Genomic DNA, 11990 nt, shown 5'->3' with positions numbered 1-11990 from the left:
AACTTGCTTGTCATCTTGTAAAATGAAAACTCTATACCCATCAAATAATAGCTTCCCATTCTCTTCTCCCCCAGCTCCTGACAATCACCATTCTGTTTTCTGTCTCTATGATTTTGACTCTTGTAAGTATCTTATATAAAGGAATCATATAATATTTGTCCTTTTTTGACTGGCTTATTTCGCTTAGCACAATATCCTCAGGATTCATCCATGCTGTGGCATGTATTAAAATTTCATTCCTTATTAAAGCTTTCTTAATTTCTACCTCATTTTTGAAAAAAAGAAACAGCAATTTTGCCAGACAATTTAGCACTTGGGCTAACAATTTGCTTTTAATTTCTTTTTCTTTTGGTACTTTGAATATATCAGTTCACTGGCTTCTAGAAAGCCTCTGAGCTTTCTAATAAGAAATTTGCTGATAACCTGATTCAGGATCACTTACATAGGACAGCACACTTCTTTCTTGCTGGTTTCAAGATTCATTTTCTTTTTCTTTTCAAAGCTTGATTATAATCAAGCTGTATTGGTATGAGTCTTCTTGAGTTTATCTACTTGGACTTCCTTAAAATTCTTGGATGTTTATATTTATGTCTTTCATCAGATTTGGGAAGTTTTCAGCCATTATTTTGTTTTCCAATATCCTTTCCTCCCCCACCATCTCTTCTTCTGTAACTACCACAACACATAAGTTGGCACATTTGATGTTGTCCCACAGATTGCTAAGGCCTGTTCACTTTTTAAAGATCGTTTTCTTCCTATTCGTTAGACATAATAAATTTAATTATCCCATCTTCAAATTTGTTGATTCTTTCTTCTTTCTATACAATTTTGCATTTGAATTGCTCCAGTAAAATTTTCAATTCAGTTATTGTACTTTTCAGCTCCAGAATTTCTTTTTGTTTTCTTTTTAGGTTTTTCATGTATTTATTGATATTTTTATTTTATTCATACATTGTTTTGATGACATTATTACATTCTTCTTTAGTTCACAGTTGCTTCAAATCTTTGTCTTAGAGACCTGCCATCTGGTCTTTTTCAGTGGCAGTTTCTGTTGATTTATTGTACTTTTTATCTTTGAATGAGCCTTACTTTCCTGATTCTTTGTATGTCTTGTAATTTTTTGTTGAAAACTAGACATTTGAATCTAATAATGTGGTAACTCTGGAAATCAGATTCTCCCCTTTTCCTGAGGTTTGATGATTTTTGTTCTGGAGATTGTTTTTTTTGTTTGATTTTGTATGCTGACTCTGTGCCAAGGATCGGCCTGAGGTGTAAAATTAAAGTCATCTCAGGTTTTTCTTGAGCCTTTCCATGCACTTCAATGATTATTTTCTAAATTTCCTCATATATGGAGTTTTTTAATGTCTTAGTCTTTAATATCTGACTTCCAAAAAGGAAAAACAGATAAATAAAGGAGGGGAGAAGGATGCCAGAACTTTGAATTCCATGGCATTCACTTCAACTGCAGGTGAGAAGCTAGGAAGAATGGGTGGAGGTAAAAACTAATGGCTGCTCTTTGTCTACACCTCTGTGATCAGAAGCAGCCATCAGCAATAGATGGGGATCCTTAATCCTGATGTTTAAAAAACAGGGTCCTTTTGATTCACCCTGGCTACACAAGCTATGCAAGAGCTGCTCCAGGAAGAGTTCACAGCTGCATGCCTTGAAGCTAGAGGAGGGGAATGAGTAGCTGTTAGTCTGCTAAGCGCTGATATTGATCAAAATGAACTGCAATTTTTCATCCAAGCCTTCCACTGGAAGTTATAATTCTTCAGTAGACTATAGAGTTCCAAAATAGTTTCCTCAAATTCTGCCAGTGCAATTGTTGCTTAGGTGGGGAGCATCAGATTCCTGATGCTTCCTACTCTGCCATCTTCTTAGAATCCTCAGTCAGTTAATTTTTTTTTAATTTCTTGAATCTGTTATTTTTTTCAAATGCTTTTAGCTTTGAGTTTACTCATCACTCTGCGCTAGTTTTTTGCTTCAATGTCTTTTTTGCCTTCTTGACTTTGATTACACTTATAAAAATCAAACTGAGACTTAGCTACTAAAGGAATATGTGTTAATAGCTATTTTCAGGTATTTGCTGTATTTAAGAACTTATTGTATGTGGTGATGTCAGCAACATGGTGGAATAGAGGATCTTGACTTCCCCTACATGTTTGAATGCACCAAATAAACATCTATTCATGGATCAATTCCCTCAAAAAAGTGAGAAAATGATTGAGAGACTCCTGCCCATCAGGCAACTGAGAAAACATCCATATAGAACAAGTAGGAATGGCTGAGAACACTGGGGGCATGGACCCCACCCTGGGCACAGAGCCATACAACCAGGAAAGAAATCTCAAACACTCAGCTTCTCCCTGTGGAGAGGAGGGTTTGGATTTCACATATACTGCCCTAACTCTAAGGTCCTCATAGTTTTGCTTTTATGTAATCAATTTGGAAAGGACAGAGGATTAGGTATATTCTTGTCTAAGATAAAAATTAGATCACAGTAAAAACGTGCAGGTTTTATTAGGGTATGCAAGCACTTGCATGGCTCCTCTGAAGTAGTGCAGAGAAGGTACTTAAAAATGCACTTGCTTGATTTTCTCTGGAATGGATTTAAAACACACTCTCCAGTGGCTACTTGGCAGCCTGGATTCTAATTAACTGTCATTGGAGAGTTAAAGAGGCAAACAAACAGTAACCTACCAACAGTGTGAGAAGATCAGCACTTCCAGAACCTTCTCTCCCAGCTCACACTAGTGGTAACTCCAGGTCACTAAATCCCTTCTGGAAAGTGTTTGCCTACACATGATGCACCTTCAACTTTTACAGCTTCCACCTGGGAGACTATACCTTAAACTTCCTAGCTCTGGGAGCAGAGGGGAGTAGGCACACCTGAATCTCTCTAGACAACAGACAAAGGGGAAAGTTTTATAAGGGTATGCAAGTACTTCCAAGGCCTTTATCCCCTGGAAGCAGTACAGAAAGGGGCTTTTAAAATACAGCTCACTGTTTCTTCCTAGAAGAGATTTATGCCACGAAACAGGGATTGTAACTTTTACAAAACCACCCGAGGGACTGCATATTAAAACTTTTAGCTCTGGGAGCACAAGAGACTAGACATACGGGAGCCTCCCCAGATCACAGAATAGAGATGTGGTTTTAAACAGGTGCTCAAACACATCCAGGGGCTAAACTTCCTAGGAACAGTGCAGCAAAGCGGTTTGAAGATGCAGCTCCCATTTTCTCTCTGGAAGGAGTTTATTGCATACTCTTTCATTGGCTCCTTAAGGGGCCTGGCTTCTAATAAACTTGCACTGGGGAGCTAATGGTGCAAACAGTAGCTCTCAGGCAGCCCAAACTGGAGCTTGGCACTTCAGAGGCTTTCTTTCAGCTTGCCACAGTGATAAATCCAGGTGTACCCATTCGTCCTGTAAGAAAGTTTTCTCTGCACTGAGCCATAATGTCTGTAACTCCTACCCAAGTGTTACTGGTGGAACGTCATGACTATCAGTTGTCCAGGTTCTTGGCATTTTGAACAAAGAACTGGACAGAACACAAAAATCAAGGAAAGAATGAAGCAATGAAAGCAAAGATTTATTAAAATAAAAGTACACTCCACAGAGTGGAAAAGGGCTAGAGCAAGAGGGTCAAGAGCCCTGGTTACAGAATTTTCTGGGATTTAAATATCCTCTAGAGGTGTCCCATTGGTTACTTGGTTTGTACCCTATGTAAACGAAGCAGTGGCTTGTGAGAAGTCTGATTGGTTGCAGAGACTGAAGTGAAGTTACAAAGTTACACCCTATGCAAACATCTGATGGGTTGCAGGAAGGGACCAAACAGAGGTATTTTCAATTTTTCATGAGCCATACAGAAAAAGGCCAGGGGCATTGCAAAGGGAGTAGACTCTGGTTCTTTTGTTACATGGGTGTGGAAAGTTGGGTTATCCCTTTGACTTAGCACTAGGAAGTCAGTGTTAGTCGACCTTAGGTTCCCTGCCTCCAGACCCTATTCTCCAGCCTCACAAGGAACTGTCTCTTTAATGACCTAGCTCTGGGAGTCATGGGGTTTTGTATCTTGAGTGGCCCTAAACTACAGAAAACAAAGAGGTGGACATACAACAGATCCACTTCCAGCAGCTATATCTCCAGGATCACAGAGTCTAGCCTAAACACAAATATAGGCATTTGATACAGATCTTCTCCCTAGCTGAATGCAAAGACAGTGAGAGATAAATGCCTGCACTCAGCTTCACCATGCAGATAGAAGGAAGTGGAACATACATCCAATACTCAACCTTTCTAGCTACATCAAGAGGGTATGGCTTCTACCTTACTGGTCTTAAGGTTCTGATAGGACATGACAAATCCTAATCCCCAGGGGGCCACCAAGTACAGAGATAGCAGTTTTAACAAACACAAAGATTTGAGAGGTATCTTAAATTCTCTGGCCTAATAGATTAGTGGGATTTTTATCCTATATGAGGACAATCTGACAAGACTGAGAGAATCAGTTATTTTTACAAGGCACCGGATGCACAAAAACCAACACAGAAGGTCAAGAAAAGTGAAGAAACAAGAAAATACAATTCAAATGAAAGAACAAGATAAATCTCCAGAAACTCCAAAATCAGTTGTAAGAAAAAAAATTATAGCAATAAATGTCTGCATTAAAACAGGAGAAATATCTCAAATAAGCAACATAACATTGCACCTTAAGGAACTAGAAGAAACAAATTAAGCCCAATGTTAGCAGAAGTTAGGAGACAGCAAATATCAGACTAGAGATAAATGAAACAGAAACTAGAAAGACAATAGAAAAGATCAACAAAACTGAGTCAGTTTTTCTAAGAGTCAGTTTTTTGAAAAGCTAAACAAAATTGACAAACACTTAGCTAGACTAACCAGGTGAAAAAGAGAAGAACCTCAAATAAATAAAATTAGAAATGAAAGGGAAGATATTATAGCAGAGAAATACAGGTTAGCTAAGAAACTACTATGAATAACTATATGTCAACAAATTCAACAACCTCATAAATAAATAAATTTCTAGAAACATATAACCTTCCAAGACTGAATTACAAAGAAATTGTAAATCTGAACAGACCAATAACAATCCAGGAAACTGAATTGTTAATTAAAGTCTCCTATCAAAGAAAAGCCCAGGATAAGATAATTTTATGACTGGATTCTACCAAACATTTAAAGAAGAACTAATATCAATTCCTCTCAAACTATTTCAAAAAATCTAAAAGAAGGGAATGCTTCCAATCTCATTTTACAAGGCCAGCATTACATTGATACCAAAACCAGAAAAAGACGCTACAAAAAAAAAAAAAAGAAAGAAAACTGCAAGCCAACATCACTGATGAACATAAGTGCAAAAGTCCTCAATGAAATACTAGCAAGCTATATTCAACAGTATATTAAATGGGTCATTCACCACAATCAAATGGGATTGATCCCTGGGTTGCAAGAGTGGTTCAACATATGTCAATCAATAAATGTGATATACCGTTATAACAAAGTGAAGGACAGAAACCACATGATCATTTCAATAGACACAGAAAAGGCATTTGACAAAATTCAATGTCCTTTTATAATTAAAATTATCAACAAACTGAGTATGTAAGAAATGTCCTTCAACACCATAAAGATCATATATGTCAAGACGCAGCTAACATCATACATAGTGAAAAGTTGAAGGCTTTTCTTCTAAGATCAAGAATAAAACAACTATTCCTACTTTTATCACTTCTGTTCAACAAAAAGTTCTAGCCAGAGCAATTAGGAAAGAAAAATAAGCAAAGGCATCCAAATGGAAGAGGTAGTAAAATTATCTCTATTTGCAGGTGACATAATCTTATATACGGGAAATCTAAAGACTGTACCAAGAAACTGTTAGAACTGATAAACAAATTCAGTAAAGTTGCAGGATAAAAAATTAACCCACAAAAATCAGTAGCACGCTCACAATAAACTAGCTGAAAAAGAAATTTTAAAAGTCCCATTTGTAATAGCATAAAAATAAATTAATTATGATTCAACTCACCCAAGGAGGTGAAAGAGCTATATACTGAAAACTATATAACATTGTTGAAAAAAGTTGAAGAGGACACAAATAAATGGCATATCCCATGTTCATAGATTGAAAGACTTAGTATTGTTAAAATGTCCATACTGCCCAAGCTATCAACATATTCAATGCAATTACTATTAATTCTGTTATTCTTCACCAAAATAGAAAAAAGAATTCTATAATTTGTGTGGAACCACAAAAGGCGCCAAATAGCCAAAGTAATTTTGACCAAAACCCAAAAACTGAAGGCATCACACTAGCAGATTTCAAAATACATTATAAAGCTATAGGATTCAAAACAACATGATACTGTCATAAAAACGACACATTAACAAATAGAATAGGATTAAAAGCCCAAAAATAAATCCACACAGCTATGGTCGATTAATTTCTGACAAAAGTGCCAAGAACATACAATGGAGAAAGGATAATCTTTTTAGTAAATGATGTTATGAGTTGGATATCCATGTGCAGAAGAATAAAAATGAAACCTTATCTTACCCCTTATGTAAGAATCAATTCAAAATGGATTAAACATGTAAACATAAGATCTGAAATTGCAAAACTACTAGAAGAAAATACAAAACACAGGGGAAAACCTCCATAATACTGGTCTGGGTAGTGATTTCACAGATAAGACCCCAAAATTGCCGGCCACAAAAGCAAAAATAGACAAATTACATTACATCAAACCAAAAAGCTTCCAAACAATAAAGGAAACAAGAGAGTTAAGATATGACTTAAAGATTGGAAGAAAGTATTTTCAAATGATACATTGAGTAAGAGGCTAATATTCAAAATATTTGATGAACTCAAACTATACAATAATAAGAAAACAAATAACCCTATTGAACAATGGACAAAGGACCTGAATAGACATTTCTCAAAAGAAGACATAAAAATGGCCAACATATATATGACAAATGCTCAAAAAAAACTAATAATCAGGAAAATGCAAATTGCAACCACATGAGTTATCACCTTATACCCATTAACAAAATGACTAAAGCTAATAAATGTGAGGATGTAGAGAAAAGGAAACTCTTTCCCACTGTTGGTGGTATTGTAATGTGCACAGCCATTTTAAAAAACAGTATAAAGTTTCCTCAGAAACTACAAATAGAATTACCATATGATCCAGCAATTGTACTTCCAGGCACATATCCAAAGGAATTGAATGACAGCACATCTGCTGAATGACAGCACATCTGTTGAAATAAATATGTTGAAGAGGCATTGACACTCCCATGTTCATCACAGCATTATTCACGATAGTCAAGATACAAAAACAAAGTGTCAATCAACAGATGAATGGCTTAAAACATGTGGCATAGATACACAATAGAAACCTATTCAGCCTTAAAAAAGCAGGAAATTATGTCATTTTATACAACATGAATGAACTTGGGGACATTATACTAAGGGAAATACGCCAAGCACAGAGAGATAAATACTGTCTGATCTCATTTATGTGTAAAATCTAAAAAAGTCAAACTCATAGAAGTTAGGTTTGGTTGGAGAGTGAATCAGGAAAGGGGAGATATTGCTCAAAGGATGCAAAAAGTTTTAGTTAGAAAGAATAAGTTCTGGTAACCTGGTGTGCAGCATGATGACTATAGTTAATAAGAATATTATTTATTTTATAATTAAAAATAGGCAAAAGAGAGGATTTAAAATGTTTTCATTACAAATAAATGATAAATATTTTAGGTGATGAATATATTGATTAGCCTGATTTGATCATTGCACACTATATACATGCTTCAAAACATCACATTGTACCCATATATGTATACAATTATTACTCATCAATTACAAATAAAAATATTTTTAAATAAAAAGAACACATGACATCTCTATCAAACTAGATTAAAATGCTATAGTCTGAGATTTACAATCCTACTGCTGTTTAACAATATCAAAACCTCCACCCTATTTCAATGTCAAATTTCATTTACCTTTAAACAAGGATTTTGTATCCTCTGTATTATTGCAATTTTGGTCTATATAATTAATTTCTTGCTAACCTCTGCATTGTATGATATTTATTAACATCCCTGGACTCTATCCAATTGATGTCAGTGGCATTCTCCACCCTCAAGTTGCAACAGCTAAACATGTTTCCGTACATCACCAAATGATCCATGGAAAGAAAATCTCCTCCTTTTGAGAACCTTTGCTTTAACCGTAAGCTATTACTAGAAATTTCATATTTAGAAAGTACCTATTAGTTTCCATTTACAGGCATACCTCTTTTTATTGTGCTTGGCTTTATTACATTTCTCAGATATTGAATTTTTTATGAAGTGAAGGTTTGTAGCAACCCTGCATTGAGCAAGTCAACTGGCACCATTTTTTAACACCATGTGTTCTCTCTGTGTCTTTCTGTCAAATTTGGAAATTCTAGCAATATTCTAAACTTCTGCATTATTATTATATTTGTTATAGTAATTTGTGATCAATAATTTTTGATGTTCCTACTGTAATTGTTTTTGGGCACCAAAAACATATACAATAGTGAACTTAACTGATTAATGTTGTGTGTATTCTGACTGCTCTACATATGGGCCATTTCCTCCCAATTCCCTACTATACCACAATATTTAAATTAGGCCAATTAGTAACTGTACAACGGCCTCTAATGTTCAAGTTAAAGAAGGAGTCTTGTCCCTTGCTTTAAATCAAAAGCAGATAGAAATGACTAAGTTTAGTGAGAAAGACATGCCAAAAGCTGAGACAAGCCAAAAACTAAGCTTTTTGTGCCAAACACTTAGCCAAGTTATGAATGCACAGGAAAAATTCTTGAAAAAAAATAAAAAGTGAACACACAGATGATAAGAATGTGAAACAGTTTTATTGCTGAAATACAGAAAGTTTTAGTGGTCTAGATAGAAGTTCAAACCAGCCACATCATTCATTTAAGCCAAAACTCAATCCAGAGGAAGGCGCTCACTTTTTTCAATTCTGTGGAGGCTGAAAGAGGTGAGGAAGCTGCAGAAGAAGTTTGAAGCTGGCAGAGGTTGGTTCATGAGGTTTAAGGAAAAAGGCTGCCTTCATAAAATAAAAGTGCAAGGTAAAGCAGCAAGTTATTCATATCTAGCTAAGATCATTGATGGAGGTGGTTACACTAAACGAAAGATTTTTAATGTAGATGAAACAGCCTTCTTTTGGAAGACAATGTAATTTAGGACTTTGCTAGAGAGGAGAAGTCAATACCTGACTTCAAAGCATCAAAGGACAAGCTGACTCTCTTGTTAGGGGTTAATGCAGCTAGTGACTTAAAGCTGAAGCCAGTGCTCCTTTACCATTCTGAAAATCCTAAGACCCTTAAGAACTATGCTAAGTCTACTCTACCTGTGCTCTATAAATGGGACAACAAAGCCTGAATGACAGCACATCTGTTGGCAACATGATTTACTGAATATTTTAAGCTGTCCGTTTTGATATACTGCTCATTGATATAAAATATCAATGCTCATTGACAATGCACCTATTTGCCCAACAGGTCTGATAATGTACAAGAAGATTTTTTTTTTCTTTTTCATGCCTAGTAACACAACATCTTTTCTGTAGCCTATGAACCAAGGAGTAATTTTGATTTTCAAGATTTATTCCTTAAGAAATACATTCTGTCTTGGAAATGTGGGCTCTTTTTTTGGTTCCAGATGAACTTTAAAGTAGTTTTTTCCAATTCTGTGAAAAAGTCATTGGTAGCTTGATGGGGATGGCATTGAATCTATAAATTACCTTGGGCAGTATGGCCAATTATAAGCAAAAAGAACAAAGCTGGAGGGATCACGCTACCTGACTTCAAACTATACTACAATGCTACAGTGAGCAAAACAGCATGGTACTGGTACCAAAACAGATATATAGACCAATGCAACAGAACAGAGGCCTCAGAAATAACACCACACATCTACAACCATCTGATCTTTGACAAACCTGACAAAAACAGGAAATGGGGAAATGATTCCCTATGTAATAAATGATGCTGGGAAAACTGGCTAGCCATACGTAGAAAGCTGAAACTGGATCCCTTTCTTACACGTTATACAAAAATTAATTCAAGATGGATTAAAGACTTAAATGTTAGACATGAAACCATAAAAACTCTAGAAGAAAACCTAGGCAATACCATTCAGGACATAGGCATGGGCAAGTACTTCATGACTAAAACACCAAAAGCAATGGCAACAACAGCCAAAATAGACAAATGGGATCTAATTAAACTAAAGAGCTTCACACAGCAAAAGAAACTACCATCAGAGTGAGCATGCAACCTACAGAATGGGAGAAAATTTTTGTAATCTACCCATCTGACAAAGGGCTAATACCCAGAATCTACAAAGAACTTAAGCAAATTTTCAAGAAAAAAATAAACCATCCCATCAAAACGTGGGCAAAGGATATGAGCAGACACTTCTCAAAAGAAGACATTTATGCAGACAACAGACACATGAAAAAATGCTCATGATCATTGGTCATCAGAGAAATGCAAATCAGAACCACAATGAGATACCCTCTCACACCAGTTAGAATGGCGATCATTAAAAAGTCAGGAAACATCAGATGCTGGAGAGGATGTGGAGAAATAGGAAGAGTTTTACACTGTTGATGGGAGTGTAAATTAGTTCAACCATTGTGGAAGACAGTGTGGCGATTCCTCAAGGATCTAGAACTAGAAATACCATTTGACCCAGCAATCCCATTACTGGATATATACCCAAAGGATTATAAATCATGCTACTATAAAGGCACATGTACACATATGTTTATTGTGGCACTACTCAAAATAGGAAAGACTTGGAACCAACCCAAATGTCCATCATTGATAGACTGGATTAAGAAAATGTGGCACATATACACCATGGAATACTATGTAGCCATAAAAAAGGATGAGTTCATGTCCTTTGCAGGGACATGGATGAAGCTGGAAATCATCATTCTGAGCAAACTATCACAAGGACAGAAAACCAGGCACCGCATGTTCTCACTCATAGATGGGAGTTGAACAATGAGAACACTTGGACACAGGGAGGGGAATATCACACACTGGGGCCTGTCATGGGGTGGGAGGCTGGGGAAGGGATAGCATTAGGAGAAACACCCAATGTAAATGATGAGTTAATGGGTGCAGCAAACCAACATGGCACATGTATACCTGTGTAACAAACCTGCCCATTGTGCACATGTACCCTAGAACTTAAAGTATATAAAAAAAGAAAAAAATACACTCTGTAAGTCTATAAATGCTGTATAAAGTGAATTTATCTGATGGATCTGGGCAAACCAGACCTTTTGGAAATAATTCACTATTTTAGATGCCCTTGACAACATTTGTGACGCATCAGAGGAGGTCACAATATAAACATTAGCAAGAGTTTAGAATAAGTTGATTCCAGTACTCATGGATGGCTTTGAGGGGTTGAAGACTTCAGTGGAGGAAGTCATGGCAGATATGATGAAAAGAGTAAAATAACTTGAATTAAAGGTGGCATTTGAAGATATGACTGAATTGTTGCAGTATCATGATTACATTTGAATGGATGGATGAGTCTGCTTCTTATGGATGTGCAAAGAAATTGCTTTTTTTGAGATGGAGTCTACTGAAAATGCTTGTTGAGATGACAACAAAGTATTTCAAATATTACATAAACTTAGTTGATAAAGCAGTAGCAAGGTTTAAGAGAACTTAATTTAATTTTGGAATAAGTTCTACTGCAGGTAAAATGCCATCAAATATCATTACATGATGCAGAGAAATATTTTGTGAAAAGCTGAGTCAATTGATACACCAAGCTTTCTTGTTGTCTTATTTTGTAAAATAAGCTTGGGTGTCAGAGCCACCCCAACCTTCAGCAACCACAACGCTGATCAATTAGCAGCCATCAAAATTGAGGCAAGACCCTTCACCA

Source organism: Homo sapiens, chromosome 6 (genome assembly GCF_000001405.40).
Source record: "Homo sapiens chromosome 6, GRCh38.p14 Primary Assembly".
Classification (NCBI taxonomy): Eukaryota; Metazoa; Chordata; class Mammalia; order Primates; family Hominidae; genus Homo; species Homo sapiens.
The sequence above is the reverse complement of the archived record's forward strand: the minus strand, read 5'-3'. Positions refer to the sequence as shown.